This window comes from Homo sapiens, chromosome 1, assembly GCF_000001405.40.
Source record: "Homo sapiens chromosome 1, GRCh38.p14 Primary Assembly".
Taxonomy (NCBI): domain Eukaryota; kingdom Metazoa; phylum Chordata; class Mammalia; order Primates; family Hominidae; genus Homo; species Homo sapiens.
Genome location: NC_000001.11, coordinates 6,149,228 through 6,172,933, shown reverse-complemented (window position 1 = coordinate 6,172,933; position 23,706 = coordinate 6,149,228). Strand labels below are relative to the sequence as shown.

The 23,706-nt window shown below is 58.6% G+C and overlaps 1 protein-coding gene across 1 annotated transcript in view, besides 2 other annotated features; it reads left to right on the top strand.

Annotated features, from left to right (window-relative positions):
- CHD5 (chromodomain helicase DNA binding protein 5) overlaps positions 1 to 23,706 on the top strand; it is a 78,535-nt gene that overhangs the window by 7,388 nt on the left and 47,441 nt on the right. The window contains exons 2-8 of the mRNA NM_015557.3: positions 4,657 to 4,784; positions 13,419 to 13,598; positions 17,217 to 17,335; positions 18,036 to 18,274; positions 20,398 to 20,522; positions 21,779 to 21,902; positions 23,522 to 23,688. Coding sequence (NP_056372.1) covers positions 4,657 to 4,784; positions 13,419 to 13,598; positions 17,217 to 17,335; positions 18,036 to 18,274; positions 20,398 to 20,522; positions 21,779 to 21,902; positions 23,522 to 23,688 — 1,082 coding nt within the window. The remainder of the gene's footprint in view (positions 1 to 4,656; positions 4,785 to 13,418; positions 13,599 to 17,216; positions 17,336 to 18,035; positions 18,275 to 20,397; positions 20,523 to 21,778; positions 21,903 to 23,521; positions 23,689 to 23,706) is intronic.
- Positions 6,767 to 7,267: an enhancer, noted in NCBI's record as "H3K4me1 hESC enhancer chr1:6225727-6226227 (GRCh37/hg19 assembly coordinates)". NCBI's record gives its function as "activates a minimal SCP1, AML or CMV promoter by ChIP-STARR-seq in naive H9 embryonic stem cells {active_cell/tissue: H9 hESC(naive)}" and the evidence as "EXISTENCE:reporter gene assay evidence [ECO:0000049][PMID:30033119]".
- Positions 11,028 to 11,228: a silencer, noted in NCBI's record as "peak27 fragment used in MPRA reporter construct". NCBI's record gives its function as "represses an SCP1 promoter by STARR-seq MPRAs in K562 erythroleukemia cells {active_cell/tissue: K562}" and the evidence as "EXISTENCE:reporter gene assay evidence [ECO:0000049][PMID:32103011]".

Below are 23,706 nucleotides of genomic sequence, written 5' to 3'. Positions count from 1 at the left end.
CAGTCACGCGCCTTCCCCTTGTTTTGATCACCTTGTGTTTGCCAAGTGCCCTGGCGGCTGCGTCCTTGCTCTGCTGCTGCCCCTCCCCAGAGGAGTGAGGGGCTGGAGCCTGGGTCTGGCAGAGCTGTGGGGCTGTGTGCAGGGGGACTAGTGTGGTGAACCAGCCTTGACCCCCTTGAGGGACCTGTGACCTGCCAGACCACAGACCAGCCTGAGTCACCTCAGTGTCCCCAGGGCATCCACCGAGCCGGTTTACACAGCGTGGGCTGTTTCAGTGGGAGGGTGCTGGGGGAGAGACTTCGCAAGGGGGTGGGCGCCCACTGCCTGTGTTCAAACAGTGGCAGCTTCACCACTGCCAGCTGTAGGACTGAGATGTAGGTAAATAATGAGGTCCTTTGAGCCTCAGTTTCCCAATCTGCAGATGGGGATAAGAATAGAACCCTGAGCCAGGTGTGGTGGTTGTGCGTGTTGTCCCAGCTGCTCAGGAGGCTGAGGTGGGAGGGTCGCTCGAGCCCAGGAGGTCGAGGCCTGCAGTGAGCCATGATCATAACACTGCACTCCAGCCAGCGACTCTGTCTCTAAAATAAATAAATAAATAAATAAAGCCCCAAACCAGAAAGAATAGTACCCCTCTCTGAGTTGCTGTGTTGAACTGATACAAATTAATCAGTCCTAGGTACTTTGGGCCTGGCACGAGCCTGGCAGGTGGTATGCAGTTATCACGACTGCTGCTATTGCAATGCGCTACCCTGAGAAGGGCCCACCTCATCGGCCTGGCCGCAGCCTGCAGTGGCTCAGCCTAGGCCAGCCTGGGGGTCCCACAGGGCTGAGCTGGCGCATACTGGGAGCTAGAGAGGGGCTGAGGGAGCTCTGGAGAAAGCAGCAGAAGGTGCCTCTCCTTCCTCTGGTCGACTTGAGCCCCACCCCGCCTCCACCCCCAGGAGGTGGGTGATCACAGGGTAATGGGTCTTAATTAGAGCAGGCTTGGATCCGTGGAGCCTCAGGCCCTGGAGGGTTAGGGCTGGTGCATGAGGGCACTGCCAGGTGGGCCAGGAGGGTGGTGGGGCAGCCACGAGGGGCCAGGAGCTGGCAGGACAAGGAGTTCTGAGGTGAGGTTGCTCCTCCCTGGAGCCCCTCACCCGGGACGGGCAGGATGCCACCTTAACACTGGCTGCATGCTCTGCGTCTTGGAACCCTCTGGGCCTCTGCTCTGTCCCCACCAGATGGAGCCATAGGGAGGAGGGACTGGTGGGCTCAAGGGCACAGGCTGGGCTTGGGGAAAGGCTGACCGTGCAGTTGCTTGTATGGTGACCCCCAGATCTGGTTTTAGAAAGCTCAGGACCTGCTGCGGGAGCAGAGAGTGTCCAAGGGCAGAAAGGGGCTGGGGCTTGGCTGAAGACGGGAGCGTGTGAGGTGTTGGGGGGGGCAGTGTCATAGAGAATCAGGCGTGTGGTGACCTCAGGGCCACCCACCAGAAGCCATCTGGGGAGAGGAAGGGCCCATCAGAGACAGGGTTAGGCAGGGCTGAGTCCCCGTCTCCGTGTGCCAGTTCCAGAGCCTTCTCAGAGGTGGGTTTCACCAGGCAGAGGCCCTGGGCTGTGAGGTCTTCTGGGAACGGAGCTGGGGTCTGTCCATGGGCAGAGGGTCTGGGGCCTTGTCCTCGAAGGCCTGTTCTGGGCGTGGGTTAGGGCCAGAGCAGGGGTCCCCCTTTGTCCTCCCCTTACCCACGGGCAGATCCCAGACTTCCTTCCAGAACTTCTGGCAGCCACCTGTGCATACCCTCATCCGTTCTGTTGGTCAGGCCACCAGTCAGTGACCATGTGCTGGGCTGGGTTTCCTAAGTCTGGGACCACCCTGCCGGAAGGGGACAGCTGGGAGGAAGCAGGAGGGAGAGGCCCCCCCTCGAGATTGCATCAGCCAGAGCCCGTTACATAAGCAGTGCTGGGCACCGCCAGGGTGTGGGGGTGGCTCTGCCCAGGCGGTCTCCTGCGGTGGCGGGGGAGGCGGAGGCCCGGTGGCAGAGCGGGCAGTTGTGGACTGGCATCCCATCGGCTGCCCCACCACAGACAGCTCCCCGCCAGCCCTGCCACTGCCCCACCGACACCTGCTCTGCAGGACGACTCCGAGGGGGTCCCCGTGCACGTTTTCAGCTGGTTTGAAAAATCCCCGCCTTTCCACACTAGTGATCAGAGGAATGGGGTGGGGTCAGCCGGAGCAGCCCAGCCCCTGCCCCTGGCTGCTTGGGGCCTCACCCACATAAACCCACCTGGGGCGGCCCTTGCTGCTGGCTCCCCTGTGTGCCCTAGCCCTCCACAGGGTGCCCTCCCTGTGTGGGAGCCCCAAGCACCTGGCCACCCTTGAGGGAGGCCCTGGTGCAGAGAGGCACCAAGACAGTGGTGCAGCCCCCACCTTCCACTGGTGCAAACACCTTCCACTGGTGCACATTGGCCCCGTGGGATGCAAGGGTGGGAGGGGCGTCCGCTCAGCCACCAGAGCCCCGGTGCCCCCGAGGAGTGGGGACAGTGGGGCTAAAGCTGCACCCATAGTGTGGGCCATGGGAGCCCCAGAGACCCAGGGTAGGAGCCCTCCTGTCCCCCTTTCCCCGCTTAGGACTCTCTGGGGGTCCCAGGCCGGGCGGTGGGGGCCTGTGTGGAGGGTGACAGGTGAGTGTTGGGTGCACATGCATGTCTGTGCGTCTGCATGTGGCGAGTGTGTCTGAGCGTGTGGGCCACACTGGGGGTCGCCTCGAAGCCCTTTTGGTGACCCAGGGGTCACCAGGGTCACCAGACTGCCTGGGTTCGAACCTGGCTCCAACACTGCCAGCTGTAGGTGGTTATGATCAAAAACTTCCTCGGGGGAAGGGGCTCTCTGTCTCTAAACTTGATCCAGCAGGGACACTCTGCCCCCTTCCTGGGTGAAAGCCTCCTGGTGGCCCCAGGACCTCTCGTCCTCCGCGGGGTCCCACTGGAGGCAACCCTCAGGCTCTGAGTGACACTCCCTGTTGTGTCTCCACTGTCACAGAAGGTCAGGCCTGGGGTGTCCATGGCAGAGGGTCTGAGGCTGAGGGGCCTCTCTTTGCCCCTCAGCTTCCCCTGAGTGCTCCTGAGTGCACAGGGGATGGTGGAGAGCGAGTAGGACAAGCTGGCTGGGGCGCTGGGGCCGCAGGCTGGCATGAAGGGCCGGCTCTCTCGTGGGCCCTTCTAGAGGACTCTTGGAGGTTCTTCCCTTCTGGAAGCCTCCTTTGCCCCCACGGGCAGAAGTGTCTCTACTTTGGATGGTTTGATTCTTGCTGCTGTGCCTGCCAAGAGGACCCTCCCCACAGCCCCTCCACAGCTCATATCTGGTGCGTGGGAACTCCTTTTCTCTATCCTGATTTCCCAGATGAGCGTCAGACCCCAGGCTACTGCCGTCCCAGCAGGGGTCTCACGTCACACCCCCCAGGACATGTGGCAGCCCTTCCTCTGGGTTGGAGGTTGAGGGAGGCAGACCTGGGACTGTGGCCAGTGTCGTCAAACATACTCCCTTCCCGAGCCTGCCCGGCCAGGGCCCCCTCGGCCTTTCGAGTCAGTGCAGGTGAGGTGAGTCCTGAACACCCACGTGTGCTGGGCACGGCGTCTCTCTGTGGACTGTCACAGCTTTCTAGTGCCCAGCTGGAATGCGCTTGGCTTCCCGTTGTGAGTGTGTTGGAGGTGGGGGAGTGCGGACCTGTGTGCCTGTGTGTGCACAGGTGCGGGATCCACGAGGAGATACGATATGGTCTTGGATTCTCCATTAAGGTGGCATCCTCTCAAACCCATGGGGTATCCTGGCATCTTCCTTGCTGAGTTTGTCCTGCAAACCCCTGGGGTCCTCAGGTTTGGGGCTTGAGTGTCCCTGTGCTCCACAATTCTCTCTCTCTCTTTTTTTTTTTTTTTTTTGATGGAGTCTCACTCTGTTGCCCAGGCTGGAGGGCAGTTGTGCGATCCCAGCTCACTGCAACCTCCACCTCCTGGGTTTGAGCGATTCTCCAGCCTCAGCCTCCCGAATAGTTGGAATTACAGGCGCCCACCACCACGCCCAGCTAATTTTTGTATTTTTAGTAGAGACGGGGTTTCATCGTGTTGGCCAGGCTGGTCTCAGACTCCTGGCCTCTGGTTATCTGCTCGCCTCAGCCTCCCAAAGTGTTGGGATTACAGGCGTGAGCCACTGTGCCTGGCAGGTCCAGCATTCTCGAGCCACCTCCTGGCCACACTGTGGTCCTCTCTCTGGAGGGAGAGATGGGCCTCACTGAGGTCTGTACTCTGCTCTATCAGCCCCAACTCCTTCCTGGTAGAGATGCTCCGTTTCTCCGGCAGTGATGGCAACAAGGCAATTCTGTTTGTTGTTCATGGAGGTTCAGTTTTCTGAACACTGTCTTATCAGGGGCAGGTGGTTATTGTCCCATTTACAGAGGAGGGAAGGAAAGGCCTGGAGGTGAGGTGATGTCACACAGTCCCTAGAGCTGGGGCTCCTGTCCTGTGTTCTCTCACTTCACTGGGTTTGGGGAGGGCAGGGCAGCTGTGACCTGGCACAGTTGGGTGTCTGGGGGTCCCAGCTTCCCCAGGGCTGGCTCTGTGTCTCCAGGGCTCTCCTGGAGGAAGCTCAGGAGTAACTGCTGCCACCTTCTGATTTTTCCAGAAGAAGAAGATGGTGGTCTTGAAGCCTTCGATGACTTTTTCCCTGTGGAGCCCGTGAGCCTTCCTAAGAAGAAGAAACCCAAGAAGCTCAAGGAAAACAAGTGTAAAGGGAAGCGGAAGAAGAAAGAGGTGAGGGGCAGCACCTGCGCCGGCGAGCTTGGGGCGGGTGGGGTTGTGGCTGCATCTGCCCGGCCGCAGAGGAGGGCTGGGGTCCCTGGACCTTGGAGTTTGAGGGTTTCTGAGAGCTGAGTTTGATGAAAAACACCATAACCAGTTTCTCGTATGAAGCGTTGTGCACGGAAGCCTTTTTAAGACGTTGCTGAGCTGTCCTGTTTCCGGAGCAGGATGTCGGAGCGTCATTTTTCCTTCCTCCCGTTGTCCTATCCTGTGCGAGGGACAGGGCTGGATTCCGTCGCCACGGTGCCTCCCTACCTCCCTGCCCCACTCCCTGCTCTGTAGCTGACTCCGTCCCTCTAAACTGAAACCTGATGAAGTGAGTTGGAGAAGAGAAGCAAGGCCCCATTTAGGGACAGTCACCTGCAGGTGACCTCTGGATTCCCGTCACTTTGTCCCTGGTTCTCGGCTGGTTCTGGATGGGCGAGGCTGCCGCATGCTCCGCTGCCTTGGGTTGGCAGGGTGTGATGGTGTGAACACGTCCCTTGTCTTCCCACGCTGCTGACACATTCCGAGTGTGCTTCTCTGTGCTTCACGCGGGCTCACTTGATCCTCATGATCAGCCCTGGAAATTGGTGGCATGGGAGGGATGATCGCTGGTTGGCAGATGGGGAAACTGAGGTGGGTTTGCAGCTTAAAGTCCTTCCTACTTGGTCTAGGACACTGAGGTCTGCCATTTCCTCACCATATGCTGTCTGCTTCCTTCTGGGCGTCTCCTCTGATCCTCCAAGCGACCCTATGTTGAGAGCAATGGCAAGCACCTCACTTCACAGATGAGAGCGGGGGCTCAGAGGTGCCCTGGCCCAAGGTCACACAGTGACACAGTGGTGGTGCTGAGATCTGAATCCAGGGCTGTCAGCTCCACCAGCCACCGCTGCCAGGAGTGTTTCTCCCCTCCCACCTGCCCCGGGGGGACCTGAGGCCAGCTCTCCACCTTTCTTTCCCCCGCCTAGAGGGGACTGGCCTGGCCCCACCTTGCAAGTGAGAGGCCCAGGGAGGTAGCTGGTGAGGCGCAGTGGTGGTGAGGTGAGGTGCTAATGCTAAGGGGGTGCCCTTGGCAGCGCTGGGCCCGGATCTAGGCCTCCCTGCAGAGTGAGGTGGGGAGGTGGCTGCCAGAAGAGCTTAGGGGTGGGTTTGGGGAGCTTGTCCCAGGCTGGAGACACTCCGTGCTGTGAGGGTTTCGGGAGGGCCTGTTGCGGGTGGTGCACCATGGGCCTCTTGTCCCGTGAACAAGGTGAGATCACTGGAAGGCTTCGAGCAGAGGAGGGACTGCTATGACATGACATCCTGGCAGGCTCCCCTGGCGGCCCTGGGGTGGGAGAGATGGTGGTGGTGGGGGGCGAGGGTCCCTGCCTTCGCCTCTGGGCCTCGGGTCTGTGCCCCATTTCCACTTCCCCGGCTTGTTCGGGTACTTGGAGGCATTTTGGGGGGCTCTGAACTCTACCTGCAGCCTGTGGTTCCTTTTCTGGTCTGGGTGTCAGCCTGGGGATGTTGGGAGGGCAGAGCCCGCCCTGGACTGTGTCCTTGGTCCCCACGGAGTTCAGGGACTGCTGGGGAAAGGATGGGGCTGGGAGGTGTTAGCCCCAACCCTCTGGCCAGAGTTGCCCCAGGTGTGTACCGCCCCGGTGCTCTTTGCTGGGGGCGGCAGTCAGCACCTCTCACCCACCTCCTACCGGCCCTTCTCTCCCAGCCCCTGCCTTGTGGGGCTTCTGCAGCCCTGGGCTCTCCTGGGAGAGCTTCCTGAGTGTGCTCTGACTGTGCCCCACGGCCCCCTGGTCCAGAGCCTGTGCAGCACCCCCACTGCTGCCACTCCAAGCCCCTGCCCCCGACCCCCACCTGCTTTGCAGCCAATCCAGGCCCTTCTGGTCCTCCGTGCACACACGTGTGTGCATGTGACTGTGTGTGTACCACCCTGTCTTCCCCTAGAGAGACCCTGGCCCCTCTGCCCAATTCTGCTTGCCTTCTCTGTTGTCCCTCAGCTCTGTGCCCCGTCTGACACAGTGTCCGGGATGGATGTGTGTCTGTCCCTTCCCGGGAACCCCCCCTTACCACTGGGCCAGCATGGGGGCTGCATGGGGAGGATTTGTGAGGTGAAGGGGGAACCCGGGTCTGTGGAGCTGGGTGTGGAGGCTCCTGCCTGGCCCATCATGCCCCAGAGACTCCCAGGCCTGCACTCTGCGGCTCTTGCATCTTCCCCGGGGTCTCAAAGAGGGTGAAGCTCCCTGTCCCTGTTATTTGATGGGGAAGTGGAGATAGGACAGGGGAAGCGGGGAGTGCGTGCCTGGAGGCTCCCCCAGGGAAGGAGAGGCTGTGAGCCAGCTCCTTTGGGAGGGGCTCCCTGAATTCCCTGCTGCAGCCCCGCCCTCCTCTTCTGCTGCTGTGGCCGCTGTCCCCTGGCCCCAGAGGTCGGTCTTTGTGCTGGGCATGGGGTAGATGGCTCTGGAGCTGCAAGGCCCTGGGATGAAGACACCGAGACTGTCTGGTGGAGGCTGTAAAATCTTGCTCTGCTGCCATCCCCGCCCTCACTCCTCAGACCTGGGCTCCATGGGCTCGGGGTGATGTGGATTTTAGGACCCCGAGGCCTCGTGGTCCATGGCAGGGACTCCTACCTGTGCACCCACTGCCCACCTCCTCTGACTTAGAAGCTGGGTGGGAGTCTAGGCCAAGAGGGGCAGTGTCACCTGGGCCTGGGTCTCAGGCCACTGGGCTGGGTGGGCCTGACTTCCAAATGCAGAAGAAGGACCCAGTGGGGTGCAGCAGAGACCTGTGGGAGCCCTGTGGGAGCCCCCATCCTCCCCAGATAGGGCTGGCTCCCCTCCCGTCTCCTGGGCTCAGGGTACAGCACCAGCCCTGGCTAGGGAGGCTTGGGAGGTGGGCAGCGCCTGGACAGGGGCGAGGCCTGGGGGCTGGGGGCCAGGGGGTCTTTGAGACCTGGGAGGGCTGGTTCTCCGACGCTCTCATTCCCAGGGCCATGATCACGCTGAGCCTTCCCTTTTCCAACTGGCCCAGGTCTTCCCTCCCGCTTCTTTCTCTGACAATATGTTTTTGTTTTTGTCCAGGTCCTTATCTCTCTCTGGCTCTTGTCTGTCTGTCTCTCTCTGGGTCTCAGACTTGGTCATTCCCTCTGGCCTGTGCTTGGTGTCCACCTTGGTAACCTCTCGGCATCTCCTCTCTCTCCTTTGCCGTCTTTTCTCTCTTCCCCCTGTACCCTCATTTCTCTCCCTCTCTTTGATTTGCTCCACCCCTTCCTCACCCTCTCTCCTTCTCTCTACTGAGATGCAGCTCTGGTTCTTGGAAGGGGAAGGGGGCTGGGATGGACAAGAGGCCTCCAGAGGTGCCCCCTCCCCTGCATTTGAGAGCCTGGCTCGGGCCAGCTGTCAGATCTTAAGGGGTCTGGAGCACACTGTGGCCCAGCTGCCGGGTGCCCCTTTGCCCACCTGCCTGGCAGACTAGGAGCCCCAGGATAAAGACAAGGGAATTTCACCCCTCTGCCCCTCTCTGCCTCCAACCAGGTGGCTCCAAGATGACGGGGTGAAGGGGCCAGGGCAGGTGGGCCGCAAGCAGCAGTTTGTTAGTGGGGGGAGGCCGGCAGCAAGTCGTGGATTCTGATTTACATAAAATAACCGGGCTGCAGCCGGAACCTGAGCATATGTAGATGAAGCTCCCTGTCAGACCCTAGCGAGCGCAGGAGGGAGAAATGATTTCAACCTGTACTGCAGCGGTTACCATAGCAACCAATTATTCAGTGCTAAATTATAACTGTTTATAACACTCGTGAATGGGAAGGCTCCTATTTCATTCTTCCCTTTTCCCTCTCAATCTTGAAGGACCCCAAATGGAGAATGACCCACTCTCCGCACCCTTCCTTATGAGTTTAAATGTCTCCGTTTTTAGGAGATGCGGTGCGTGTGCGGAGCATCGGGCCTAGAGGGAAGGGAGATGGAGGTGGGAGGCCTCTGCCAAGAAACATCTGCGGAGCTGGGAAGGAGGAAGGGTGGCGGGACTGTCCATTGGGATCCCCAGGGCTGCGACCACATGCTGTGCCCTCAGCAGGGTGGGGGCTCAGAGCAGAGACCCCTCCTGCCTGCCCCTGCCTCCTGGCACACATAGGCTGGGCATAACATTCAAGGCAGCTTTGCAGGTGGAGTTCATGTGGGGACTCCACATCCACTAAGATTCTTCTGCTAGCTGGTAGGGCGTCCCCTGTAGTCACGCCTAAGGCTGCTGCAGCCGAAAGGTCAGTGCCAAGGTCGAAGGCCAACTGTCATCTGTATCTTCATGCCTGCAGTGTGGTTTGATGGCCCTCAAACCTTAGGGTTGGGTTGGTTCGGGGGCTTAGTTAGGGACTTATTGGTCTGCGTCTCTGTCTCCTCCCCTGCACGTGGCTTGGTCTACGAGCCTCTCAGTATGTTTTGAGATACTGAACTGTGAATCTGCCTCTGGTTCTTGATCGTTTCTTTCCTTCTTGCCGCTGGATGATGCTCCGTCCCTCCAGGTCCTGCTCATGGGCCACTGCTCTGCTAGGTGTTTTCAGAACTATTTGCAGCTTTCTCTGCAAGGAGAGATTTTGGAAAAACACCACAAAAAGGAGGCCTAGTTCTAGAATGTCAAAACAGCTGGATGCAGGGTTCTGCCCTGCACCCCCACCCTCGGCCAGCCCCTGGTAGGGGAGGAGGGTTCAGGTGATATCTGGTGCAGGTGGGAGGCCCAGCTGTGCGGGCTCCATGTGGTGGAGGCAGGGCAGAGGCTCAGGGCAGGGGAGGCAGGTGGGGACTTGGGCGTCAGACCCTTCTCATCGACTGGGCTTTCCCCAGTGCAGGTGGATGGAGGAGGGAGAGAAGTGCACCTGCTTCCAAGAAATGAGGGCTTTGCTGGCTTGCCTGAGCCCCAGTGGGTGACAGCAGGGAAGGGGCCACAGATGGGCAACAGACATGCCTGACGTTGTCTGAGCCCATTCTGTGCTGAGGGTCTGTGCCCTCCTGCTCTGCCACTTAACCCTGAGCGGACGCTGGGCGAGCCCTGTCAGTGCTGGGCTCATGGCCTTCTGCCAGCCCTACTCTCCCAAGGTGGCATGCGCTGCTGCTCCTGCCAGACAGTGGAGGCTGCTGGAGGTGCCTTCCCCTCCCTATCCCTCCCTCCTTCCGGCTCTCCCTGGGCCGCCACTCCTGGTCTCCCCTGCAGGTCGCCGAGGGGACTGCTTGCCATCAGATGCTGGGTTGGCTCCCCGTAGATGTTGCCACAGCAGCCCCTTCTTGTCCAGGTCCTGCTCCCTCTGTACCGCGTCTCGCCCCAGCTGCTGGCAGCCTCTGTGCAGTTGGCTGGAGCCCAATCCCGACAGCAAAAATGTGGGGGTGAGCTTGGTGTGTCCCCTCCAGCTTGTCGTCCTGGCTGTATCTTTGGCTTCCATGCAGAGCTGGGGTCATCATGGGTTGTTTGGGCATTTTCTGGGCATTATCAGAATCCCAGCGGCCTCTGGTGTCTACATGTGGTCGTGGTGGTGTCAGGGGGAAAGGGTCATTCTGACTGCAGCCTGCTCTGGCTTGGCCGAGTCCCCTGCCCAGGACACAGCAAGGCGGCCCAGCCCTGGAGACCTGGGTGCACGTCCCATCCCTCCCCTCCACCCTGGCTCAGAGCCCTGCTTCTCTGTGCTTAGGTTTCTCCCGGGTCACAGATGTTCAAGGCATTTTCTTTTCTTTCTTTTCTTTTCTTTTTTTTTTTGAGATGGAGTTTGGCTCTTATTACCCAGGCTGGAGTACAATGGTGCGATCTCGGCTCACTGCAACCTCCGCCTCCCAGGTTCAAGCGATTCTCCTGCCTCAGCCTCCTGAGTAGCTGGGATTGCAGGCATGTACCACCATGCCCAGCTAATTTTGTATTTTTTTTTCAGTAGAGAAAGTGTTTCTCCAAGTTGGTCAGGCTAGTCTTGAGCTCCCAACCTTAGGTGATCTGCCCGCCTCGGCCTCCCAAAGTGCTGGGATTTCAAGCGTGAGTCACCGCGCCCAGCCTCAAGGCATTTTCTTACAGTCTCCCTGGTTCTATCCTTTCTGGCATTCCCAGTTCACAGACGATGAAGCTGAGGTTTAGCTCGCTACAGTGACTTGGCCAAGTCTCAGGCTTGCAAGGGGCAGAGCCTCCCTGGGGAGCCCGGGACTCACTGGCAGGCCACGTAGGATTAACCGTGGGTCCCTCAACTTCATCCTCGGTAGGTTTGTGGGGTTTGCTCTCTAGCAGCTGAAGGCCACCCAGGGCCCCTTCCTCCGGCCAGCCCCAGCCTCTGTCCGTGGTGCTGAAGTTCATGGCGGCCTCTCTTGTCCTTACCTTTGCTGGGGTGAGGGCTCAGGGAGAGCGTGTCTCTCAGATCTCCTGAAGGGCGGTCTCTTGAAGCTGGCCAAACTCTGACACCCTCAACGGGACGTGGACATCACTGTCTCATCTCCACCTCCCCAAAGGACCGAGGCCGAGCTTGGGAGCCGTGGCTCCAGGGCCCAGCATCTCCTCCAGCCTTGAGAGCAGGCTCCCAGCCAGTGGCTGTGTCAGTATTCCCGGAAACACCCGGGTTCCGGAAAAGCAAAGAGCACAGAGGCCCTGCTGCCTGGCAGCTGGCAGCGCCGCTGACTCTGGAGGCTTAATGGGCTAAGAGGTTTGGGAGCAGGGAGGCTGGTGGGCAGGGGAGAGGGAGCGGGGCTTCCAGGAGAGGAGGGAAGTGCAGGCAGCCTGTTGGAAGGGGTGCTTCCCAGCTGGATGTCAGAGGGGGCCCCCACCTCCCCTGTCAGTGACCGTCTCCCCCTCCACGAACTGTTGGATGTGACTGTTTGGAGCCACTCTCCTGGGAAAAGGCAGGTCATCCCCTCTTGACAGTGTGGCCTGAAAGGGCAGAGTTGGGCTGGGGGCCTCCCAAGACTATCCAGGGAGGCCCCCCGCCTTTGCTGCCTCCTCATTCTCTTTCCTTCTGCCACCCTTTCCTTTCCTTCTCCCTCCCTCCCTCTTTCCTTCATCCTCCCTCCTGGCCACTGCTGTTTCCTGAGCTCATTTTTTATCTCTCCGGTTCTGTCTTAATCTCATCCCATGCCTCTCCTTGCTCACCCCGAAAACAGTTAACAGCAGTCCTGCGCATGGCAAGCCCCGCATGCCCCGGGGATCATGGCAGTGCTGCCCGGCCCCTCCCTGGGAAGGGGCTGTGGAGGGCTTCGCCAGTTGACTTGTGTCTCTAAAGGCCACAAGTAAACCACTTTCTCCGAGGGGCAGCACCTCTCTGGTGGGGTGCTCTGGTTGTAAACGCCCTTATCTCCATATAAATGGGCCATTTTCTGCCTGTACAGACAGGAAACTAAATCAAGGAAGCCAAGCTTAAGAGCTGCCTAAATTACCTTGTCTCATATGGAGAGGAAGCGGCCAGGATGGGGTGGGAGAGGGGGAAGGTGGGCTTGTGCCATCCATAGCAGTGTCTGCAGAGTCCGCACATGGAGAAAACTGTGATGTGCCTGCTGCATTAATTACAGGTTTCACCTGACGAACGCAGTTCCATGGGATGTGAACTTAAGCAGAGAGCTGTGGCGCTGGGGCCTGAGATGCAGCGGCCCTTCCCTGGCTGGGGCTCTCCTTCTCTGGCTGGGGCCCTTCCCTGGCTGGGGCTCTCCTTCTCTGGCTGGGGCCCTTCCCTGGCTGGGGCTCTCCTTCTCTGGCTGGGGCCCTTCTCTGGCTGGGGCCCTTCCCTGGCTAGGGCTCTTCTTCTCTGGCTGGGGCCCTTCCCTGGCTGGGGCTCTTCCCTTGCTGGGGCCCTTCCCTGGCTGGGGCCCTTCCCTGGCTGGGGTTCTTCTTCTCTGGCTGGGGCCCTTCCCTGGCTGGGGCTCTCCTTCTCTGGCTGGGGCCCTTCTCTGGCTGGGGCCCTTCCCTGGCTAGGGCTCTTCTTCTCTGGCTGGGGCCCTTCCCTGGCTGGGGCTCTTCCCTTGCTGGGGCCCTTCCCTGGCTGGGGCCCTTCCCTGGCTGGGGCCCTTCCCTGGCTGGGGTTCTTCTTCTCTGGCTGGGGCCCTTCCCTGGCTGTGGCTCTTCTTCTCTGGCTGAGGCCCTTCCCTGGCTGGGGCTTTTCTTCTCTGGCTGGGGCCCTTCCCTGGCTGGGGCTCTTCCTGTGCACTTTGCTTTTTGACTCTGGGACCACATCCTCCACCGCCAGCTCCTGGGTCCATGCCTCATCATGTAAAACTAATTCAGCCCCCAAAGTCCATAGAAGCCCAATGATGACTGAAGCGGAGCCTGAGTTCACCCGCAGGGCTGCTGGAGTGGGCTGAGCCGAGCTTGCAGATGGAGAAGCCTGCTCTCACGAGAGCCTCACCTCGCCTCACCTGCAGGTTCTACTGCTTCCTGTGGCGTAGACCCTGGGGACAAGACTTGGCTCAGGCTGGCTTGGGGTTGCCCCTTTGGCTGGGCTTTGGGGCTGAGCTGTGAGCAGTGGCCTCTGATGATGAGTGGAGTGATGGGGATCGGTCGATCCCCAGCGTGGGCCAGGAGGTAGCTCTCAGGGCCGTCCTGCCACCCAGGACTCTGGATGTTCCTGGGGCCTCTGTTGCCCTCACTGTCCCCCTTCTTTTCCAGGGGAGCAATGATGAGCTATCAGAGAATGAAGAGGATCTGGAAGAGAAGTCGGAGAGTGAAGGCAGTGACTACTCCCCGAATAAAAAGAAGAAGAAGAAACTCAAGGACAAGAAGGAGAAAAAAGCCAAGCGAAAAAAGAAGGATGAGGATGAGGATGATAATGATGATGGATGCTTAAAGGTAACTGTGGAGGCCTGGCTGGGGGGACAGAGCGACATCCCCCTTTAAGGGGGCTGAGCCTCTTGCCTGTATGTTCTGTGTGTGTGTGTGTGTGTGTGTGTGTGTGTGATGGAGTCTCACTCTGTTGCCAGGCTGGAGTGCAGTGGCGTGACCTCGGCTCACTGCAACCGCCTCCCAGGTTCAAGCAATTCTCCTGCCTCAGCCTCCCGAGTAGCTGGGACTACAGGTGCGTGCCACCACGCCTGGCTAATTTTTGTATTTTTAGTAGAGACAGGATTTTACCATGTTGGCCAGGATGGTCCCCATCTCTTTTTTTTTTTTTTTTTTTTGAGACGGAGTCTCGCTCTGTCGCCCAGGCTGGAGTGCAGTGGCGGGATCTCGGCTCACTGCAAGCTTCGCCTCCCGGGTTCACGCCATTCTCCTGCCTCAGCCTCCCAAGTAGCTGGGACTACAGGCGCCCGCCACTACGCCCGGCTAATTTTTTGTATTTTTAGTAGAGATGGGGTTTCACCGTTTTAGCCGGGATGGTCTCGATCTCCTGACCTCGTGATCCGCCCGCCTCGGCCTCCCAAAGTGCTGGGATTACAGGTGTGAGCCACCGCGCCCGGCCTCCATCTCTTGACCTCGCGATCTGCCTGCCTTGGCCTCCCAAAGTGCTGGGATTACAGGCGTGAGCCACTGCGCCCAGCCTGTTCTTTTTTTCTTTTTTAGAAGGAGTTTTGCTCTGTTGTCCAGGCTGGAGTGCAGTGGCTCCTGCCTTAGCCTTCTGAGTAGCTGGTACTACAGGCACGCATCACCACGCACAGCTAATTTTTGAGTGAGCAGCTATTTCTAGGGGAGAGTGATAGATAGTGTGAGCTCAAGTTTAGTGTCAGGAACCTCTTGCTTGGAGCAATTCGGGAAAATAAAACAACAAATGGAGTCTTTGCCACAAGAAGTGCTGGACAGCTTTGTTTATGGTAGAAAGGGAACTTGTGTTCTGAAATCCTGCCCAAGCAGGCATTCCCGGAGTCTCCTACTGCACGTGGGGCAGAGCGGCTACAGAGATGGGCCAGCTCTCCCCTGGGCCCAGCGTCCCCAGGAACATGGGAAATGATGTGAAGGAAGCCAGGCCTTTATGGTCATGCTGAGGTGCTCCGGAGTCTCAGAGGCTGCACCCTGGGGCTCCTTGGGGAGATGGAGAGGCCAGGGGTGAGGTTGGTGGACAGGCAGTGGGTGAGTGACAGTGCCATTCAGGAACACTGTGCTCCCTTTGTTCTTTTAAGAGACACCAAGGCTCGGTTTGGGCTGGTCACAGATTTAAAGATAAACGCTCTGTAAATATTAGTACAGTTGCTGTTGGGTGAGGCAGAAATCATGAATGTGAATAACTGAAGTTGGGAGGTGTGGGAGGAGGAGCGATTCTTCCTGGCGGTGTCCTGACACCTGGGGTGATTTCATGAGTCAGTGGAGTGTTGTGAGTCACCGGAGACGGATCGTCGCTGCGGGGCTGACAGTTCTGAAAGCTTCACTTAAGAGAGTGATTCAGGATCACCCTGTAACAGTATCATCCCCTCGCTCACCTGCTGCTCTGCTGTCCTGGGTGGGGACCAAGGGGTCCGTGTGCCATCAGGAATGGCCATGTGTGTCCACGGGGGCAGGTCAGCCACAGAGGGGGCCCCATGTGAGGAATTCTCTGAGCTGTCACAGAACAGGAGGCAAGAATGGGCTCTGGAGGCCTCCCGCAGCCTGGATGGGCAGACTGGTTCTCAGTGCTGGGAGACGCTCAGGGCAGCCTCCTGTTGCAGGAGCAGAAGCCCAGCTCCGGGGCCTAGGCAGTAGAGGGATGTGTGGGATCAGGGCCCTGAGAACTAAGAGGCAAGGGGCTTCGGGGTTGTGGGACCCAGTGGTGTTATCAGAGGCTGTCTCTTTGCATCATTCACTCTGCCTCTGCTGTGGCAGTGTTGGGCTCAGGCCAGGCACCCTCATGGCTGAGCATTCTTGTGGCTGAGAATGAGGGCAGCAGCAGCTCGGGGCTTCTTGGCCCCTCCAGCAGGAGGGAGAGCAGGCCTCCCATGTCCAGGTATGCAGGCAGGAGACCAGCATTCCCTCTGATTGGACTGGCTTAAGACATGACTGGCCTGACCAGACTTTGGCCTAGGAGTGGTGTGTACTGATTGGCTTAATGTATCAGGTTGGGTGGGGGCAGCTCAGGGCTGCTTGGAAGAAGTGGGGTGTCAGGGAAGGAAGAAGAAGGGTGGGTTGGGTGCTAACAATTGCTAACGCATTTTGACACACCCTGTTCCAAGCACCTGCACTAAGTCATTCTGTTCTGCAAGGCAGTGTGCCATTATCTCCATTTTACAGATGGGGAAACCGAGGCAGGAAAGTTAAGTAACTTATCCACTTCTTACCACCGGTATGTGGCAGAGCCAGGATCAGAACCAGCCCATGCCCACATCCGGCACCTCCCTTTCTGAGCCCCGCCAGCCCGGGCCTGGTCATCTGGTCACCTGACCCCTGGGCTAGCTCTCTTGAGAACTCACTGTGCCCCTGGGATGTCCCCCCACCCCAGGCCTCAGCAGTAGTTGGATCCTCTCAGGGCTGTGCCCCCAGGATGTCCCTCCACCCCAGGCCTCAGCAGTAGTTGGATCCTCTCTGGGCTGTGCCCCCAGCTGGCCCATTGTCCCATGCCCCTGCCCCAGCAGAGTGCACTTTCCTTTCACTGGAAACTGGCAGTGGCCTGTCCTTCACAAGGGCTGACGTAGCTATACCTGGCATCCTGGGGAGGCCTCATGTCTTTTTTTTTTTTTTTTTTTTTGAGACAGAATCTTGCTCTGTCACCCAGGCTGGAGTGCAGTGGCGCCATCTCGGCTCACTGCAACCTCCGTCTCCCGAGTTCAAGTGATTCTCCTGCCTCAGGCTCACAAATAGCTGAGATTACAGGCACACACCAACACACCCAACTAATTTTTGTATTTTAGTAGAGACAGGGTTTCAGCATGTTGGCCCGGCTGGTCTCTAACTCCTGACCTCAAATGATCTGTCTGCCTTGGCCTCCCAAAGTGTTGGGATTACGGGCGTGAGCCACCACCCCTGGCCTGGAGGCCTCATGTCTTTCTAAAGTGGCTTAGGCAGCCCTGGAGCCCTGCGGCCTCATCAGGGACATCTTCCCGTCTTCAGGCCACTGTGCTGTCCTGCTGTCCAAATCCCCAGAATGCAGTCCCCACAGAGGGCAAGTTCTGTTGTCCTGCCCTGGTGTCCCGAGGCTGGTCGGGCAGCCCTATCTCAGGATGGGGGCCTGGTCTCAGGCATCCAGTCTCCTTGCCCACACCTGGCTGATTTCCCTTTCTGGAAGTTCAGGGCACACACATGGCCTCTCCCCAAACCCTGACGTCGAACACTTGGCCTGCACTTCGTGGGCTGGCATCTGAGACGTGGCACAGATTGGGGGCTGCGGGGCTGCGGGGCTGCAGGGCTTGAATGTTTCCTAGGGTGGGTGAGAATGGTCTGGTTACATTGCAGACACAACCCCTCCTCTTTCCCCTGTGCCAAAGCCTCCTAGGCAGAGACCCTGGGGATGGGGGTGCAGGTCAGAAGGCCCCTCAACAACTCTACCTCTGGCCTGGGTCTCTGTAGGAGCCCAAGTCCTCGGGGCAGCTCATGGCCGAGTGGGGCCTGGACGACGTGGACTACCTGTTCTCGGAGGAGGATTACCACACGCTGACCAACTACAAGGCCTTCAGCCAGTTCCTCAGGTGGGCGGGGCACTAGGGCTGTTCTCCAGGCCCGCACATCCTCTGGTGGTACCAAGTCGGGAGGGAGGCAGAGGAGTGAAGCCCCGGCACCTGGGGTAGGGGTGGGCTCTGTCAGACCGACTGAGCAACCTGGGGGAGCTGGAGGGAGGGGGCAGGACCCCTTCATGTTAACAGACCACCAGGCCTTCCCTTGTGGGCCCTGCCCCTCAGCCCTTGAGTCTCTTCCCCTTGGGGAAGGTGGTTCCAGTCTTTCCTGGGGGGTCTTTCACCACCATGGCCTCTCAGCTCTGGTAGAGGTGGGACGGAGACCCCAAGGCCCACTGTAGCCCACCTGTGGCCCCACAAGTCTTGCAGGGCCTGAAAACCCAATGAGAAAATCACCAACTGTGTGGACAGGAAGCTGGGGTGTTTTGGGGGTGGGCTGTGGGTGTGGACAGGAAGCTGGGTGTTTTGGGGGTGGGCTGTGGGTGTGGACAGGAAGCTGGGTGTTTTGGGGGTGGGCTGTGGGTGTGGACAGGAAGCTGGGGCGTTTTGGGGGTGGGCTGTGGTCAGTGGGTTTCCCGCCTAATCTCTCTAATCAGGAACCTGGGGCTGCTGCCATAGATCGCACATGTGGCAGAGGGGTGGGCCCTGCCGGGGGTCGGGTGGGCCTCTCATCTCACCTGGCCTTGCCCTCACCCTCCTGCCTCTCCCCCTACAGGCCACTCATTGCCAAGAAGAACCCGAAGATCCCCATGTCCAAAATGATGACCGTCCTGGGTGCCAAGTGGCGGGAGTTCAGCGCCAACAACCCCTTCAAGGGCAGCTCCGCGGCAGCAGCGGCGGCGGCGGTGGCTGCGGCTGTAGAGACGGTCACCATCTCCCCTCCGCTAGCCGTCAGCCCCCCGCAGGTGCCCCAGCCTGTGCCTATCCGCAAGGCCAAGACCAAGGAGGGCAAAGGTAAGGCTGGGGTTGGGTGGGCACCTAGTCCCGCTGGGAAGAGGTCCCTTTCAGACCCTATAGGAGAAGCCACGGGGCAGACGCGGGCAGGGAGGGGCAGCTGGGGTGCTCCTAATGGAGGGCTCTGTGCCTGTGTGACCTTGGATTGCCCGGTCCTTTCTCAGCAGTGAGGCAGCATCGTCGCCTCTTTTGTGCCTGACTCCCTTTTGGGGTTGGTGGAGAAGCAGAGGCGATGATGTGGGCAGAGGTCTGGGAGGTTTGAGCCTGGCCAGCCAGGAGGTGCCCCCGACGTGGGCCTGGAGGGAGGGCGGGACCAGAGGTACGCAGAGTGGAGCCGCTCCAGCCTGGGTTTCTGGGAGTTGGCAGGCTCTTGGGTTTGAGCCTGTGCCGTTTCTGGGGAGGAGGAGGAGGCCCCAGTCGAGCCCGTCTCTTCTTCTTGTCTGCATACCCACTGTGTGCAGGGTTGTTCTCCAGGCCCTCGGCCAATGTGGAGCATGGAGGCCCTGCCCCTCCAGCTTTAGGATCCGGGAAGCAGGCAGGAGTTGGAGGGACTGGGCACGGCCAGGTCTCGCTTCCCAGGGAGGCTGTTCTGGGACAGGCCTGGAAGGAGATCGAGATCCAAATTCTGCCTCAGTGGCAGGGCGTCTGGGTGGGGAGGATGCAGGCAGCAGAGGCCCCCTGTGACTTGAAGGCCCTGGGGAGGGAGCTTTCTGGGTGCAGGTTTCTGGCCTTTTGGAGGCTGGGGATGTTGATCTCCCCAGGGCTGTCAGTCACCTGCAGCTCAGCTTTCCTGGGTGCCCTGATTTGTTTTGTTTTGTTTTGTTTTGTTTTGACAGACTCTCACTCTGTCTCCCAGGCTGGAGTGCAGTGGCACGATCTCTGCACACTGCAACCTCCGCCTCCTGGGTTCAAGCAATTCTCCTGCCTCAGCCTCCTGAGTAGCTGGGATTACAGGAGTGCATCACCACACCTGGCTAATTTTTTGTATTTTTAGTAGAGACGGGGTTTCACCGTGTTGGCCAGGCTGGTCTCAGAACTCCTGACCTCAGGTGATCTGCCCACCTCGGCCTCCCAAAGTGCTGGGATTGCAGGTGTGAGCCACCGCGTCTGGCTGATTTGGGTTTTGATGGAAGGGGCTGAGGGGGCTCCGGGGATCCCTTCTTTCAGCCCCAAGGAGCTTTAGTTTCTGGGGTTCTGTGTCTGGCATCACCATGCCAAGTCTCTGAAGGGAGCCTGGTGGGTGAAGTGACAAGGGTCAGAGTCTGTTCCCTGTCCTGCTCCATCTGTCTGGGCCATCAGGATCTCGGGAGGGGCTCCTGGCCCGCCCCTGTCTGCCCAGCCTGCCTTGTTTTCTCATTTCCTCTCGCGCTCCAGCTGCTGAGCTATCGATTCCATGAGCTGCTTATTCAGAGCTTGGAAAATTGAAATAGATTTTCCGCGGCGCCATGGAGGGTGCAGCTGGGCTCCTAGCTCCATGTCCGTGTGTGTGGTGTGGCCAGAGGACGGCCTGGGGAGAGGCTGCCTCTGTGGGGTGTGCATCCCTGCCTCCAGGCCCCCCTTCCTTCTTGGGTCATTACTCCCCAGGTAGCTAATTGCCCTGTGGCCAGCTCCATAAAAACAGCCTCAGCCCTGCTGGCCCTTGCTGGGGTTGACTGGCAGAGGTGGGGCAGTCTTGGGTGGGACCAGCATTGCCTGGCTGGCAGGTGGGAAAAGGCCTTTTGGCTCCAAGACATCCTTTGGGGGCTCAGGCATGGACCACAGGTGGGCGGCTGTGCCTTCAGTGGCCCTGCTGGCTGTGGGGGATGGCTAGTGCCTCCTTTCAGTGGTTGGAGACGGTATAGGGGATCCTCCCAAAAGGGCCACATTTCTGTGGGTCATGGACAAGGGGCAGCAAGGCGGTCAGGGCAGCCTCCAGTCAGAGCCGTCATCTGGTTTTTGCCTCACTTGCTGTGTGATTTTAAGCAAGGGGTTTACCTCTCCAAGCCTCAGGCATCTCATCTGAAACGGGGTGATGGTAGAAATGACCCTTTCCTTATTGGGTAACCGAGAGCTCAGTGAGATGATGGCAGGAAGCAGGCCGTCAGTGGTGGCAGTGGTTGGCTATCATCACTGCTGTTTTTCAGGGCCTGGAGTGAGGAAGAAGATCAAAGGCTCCAAAGATGGGAAGAAAAAGGGCAAAGGGAAAAAGACGGCCGGGCTCAAGTTCCGCTTCGGGGGGATCAGCAACAAGAGGAAGAAAGGCTCCTCGGTGAGTGTGTGCGTGTGTGCGCGTGTGTGTGCATTTGCATGCATGTGTGTCTGCACATGAGCACGCAAGGGCCAGGCGAGGGCCTTCAGTTCATTACAAACTAGCTGGGGCAGGTCGCACCCCTCCACTATTCTCCTTCCATCCTACATGCAGGTGTGCTGGGCCTCAGTTTCTCCATTTGTGTGATGAGGAGTTTAGATTGAATCCTTCCAAGGGCCCTTCTAGCCTGGACTCTGGGCAGGGAGTGCTCCCCTGGCTCACCCTCCTGAGTGGGAGCTCAGTCCTGGCTCCTGCTGTCCACAGCTGCAACTCCATTTGGGCAGGAGGTGGAGGGATCTGTCCTGGTGGGGCCTGGCCGCCCAGCACCCAGGTCTGCTCTCGGGGGGAGTAGTTGGGTGGGGGCTGGACCCTAGAGAAGTGGTATGTGGGTAGGATCAGGCTGGCTGGAGCCCCAGTTACCTCCTCCTGTCCTCAGGGCCAGCTCTGGGCCCAGGCTCAGACACTAAGCCCAGGTCTTACTCAGCCTTGGGGCCCCCCTTTCTCTGTGAGTGTGAGGGGCATTCGCCCTCCTCACCCCCACAGGTAGCTGCCTCCCTCACCTCACCCCAGCCCTGCGGTGGGTGGAGTTGGAAGCTCTTTCCCTGCACCATGGCAGGAGCCAGTGTTAGGTCTGGAGGGGAGCATGGAGAGAAGGTGTGGCCCGCCCTGGAGCTGACGGTCCAGTTCAGCTTAGCAGATATTTGTTGAGCACATACTGTGTACCAGGCCCGCTGCTCAGCCACAGTGGGCCGTGGTCCTGTAGCACTCGTCACCTGGCAGGCATGTTTGCTGGTGGAGAGCCCGTGATGTACCAGTCAGACAGGACAGGCCAGACCTGGCACACACGCAGCCACAGTAGGTCCAGTAAAGGAGAGATCTGGGAAGACTTCTTGGAGGAGGTGTCCCTAGGGCTGCCCCTTGAAGGATGTTTAGGAGTTTGGCAGGATGGAGGGCAAGGCCTGGGAAGCTGTTCAGAGGTGGAAATTGTGGGAAGTGTCTGAGGCTGGAGAGCAGGGCTCTGGGTAGGCGGTGGGACATCAGGCTGGACAGGCAGGCTGTAATGTGAGGTTTTCAGCTGTGTTGGGGGCTGAGATGAATCACAGAGAGCACTGTGTCTCCAGAGCCTCTTCCGTGCTTTGTCCCACCCCACACTGCCTGGGCCAGCGAAGCCTTCTGGGTGAAGCCCTGGGATCACAGGACCCTGTCTTCCCCTGCAGAGTGAAGAAGATGAGAGGGAGGAGTCGGACTTCGACAGCGCCAGCATCCACAGTGCCTCCGTGCGCTCCGAATGCTCTGCAGCCCTGGGCAAGAAGAGCAAGAGGAGGCGCAAGAAGAAGAGGAGTATGACTCCCCTTCCAGAGAGTTCTTGGCCTGCTGGGTGGATGTAGTGGGGCACGAGTAGGACTCCCCATCTGGACGGTTCTCGGCCTGCCGGGTGGATGTGCGGGGCATGGAACCTCCCCGTGGGAAGCAGGGGGAGGGCATCCTCATGTCTCAGCCAGGTGGGGCCCCTGTGTTTCCCACACGGCCCTGGTTTCTACTGTCTGGGGAGGGGCATCCTGTCCCAGTAAGGAAAGAACAAGGAACCTATGGTGGGAGCTACCCCAGGGCATTTGCATTAGCAGTGTGGTGACTGGAGAGGGAAGTGCTTCATCTCATCGCCATCCTCCCTTCAGTCACCCCCCACCCACTTAACACCCATCTTTACCTCACCTTCCTTCCCATCCCTCCTTCTCCCTCCTTCCCTCAGTCCCTTCTTTTTATCCATCCATCCTTCATCCATCCAGCCATTCATCCATCATCCATCATCAATCCATTTGTCCATCCATCCGTCAGCTATCCATCCACCATCCATCCATCCATCCATTCATCCATCCTTTTGTCCATCCGTCCGTCCGTCCGTCCGTCCATCCATCCATCCATCCATCCATCCATCCATCCTATCATCCATCCATCCACTTGTCCATCCATCCATCCATCCATCCATCCATCCATCCATCCATCCTTTTGTCCATCCATCCATCTGTCCATCCATTCATCCATCCCATCCATCCATCCACTTGTCCATTCATCCATCATCCATTTGTCCATCCATCCATCATCCATCCATCCATTGTCCATCCGTTATCCATTCATTTGTCCATCCATTATCCATTCATTGGTTCATCCATCCATCTACCACTCTGTCCATCCATCATCCATTTGTCCATCCATCATCCATTTGTCCACCCATCCATCCATTTGTTCATTCATCTATCCATCCTTTTGTCCATCTATCCATCCATTTGTCCATCTATGCATCCATCCTTCCATTTGTCCATCCATTACTCATCCATTTGCCCATCCATCCATCCATCCATCCATCCATCCATTTGTCCATCCATCCATCATCCATTCATTTGCCCATCCATTCATCCATCCATTTGGTTTATCCATATATCCATCCATTCTTTTGTCCATTCATCCATCTATACATCCATCTATCCATCCACTTGTCCATCCATCCATCCATCCATCATCCGTCCATTTGTCCATTCATCATCCATCCATCCTTCCATCCACCTATCCATCCATCCATTTGTCCATCCATCCATCCATCCATCAGTCCACCCATTTCCATTTGTCCATCCATTTGTCCATTCATCATCCATCCATCCATCCATTTGTCCATCCATTCATCTATCCATCCATTTGTCTATCCATCCATCATCCATTTATCCATTCATCTTTCTACCCATCCACCCACTCTCCTACCCTTCCTTCCTTCCTTCTTTCCTTTTATCCATCTTCTATCTCCTCACCCTTTTACCACCTCAACCATCAGTCTATTCACCCACCCACCTTTCCATCCACCCTCTATTAGACATCTACTCTGTGCCTGTCTGGCCTGGGGCGATGCAGTTGGTTGTGTGCTGGGAGTGTGGATGAGGACTTCCATGACTGCCTCTCCCCTACCCTAGTTGATGATGGTGACGGCTATGAGACAGACCACCAGGATTACTGTGAGGTGTGCCAGCAGGGTGGGGAGATCATCCTGTGCGACACCTGCCCGAGGGCCTACCATCTCGTATGCCTGGACCCAGAGCTGGAGAAGGCTCCCGAGGGCAAGTGGAGCTGCCCCCACTGTGTAAGCCTTGGCAGAGCC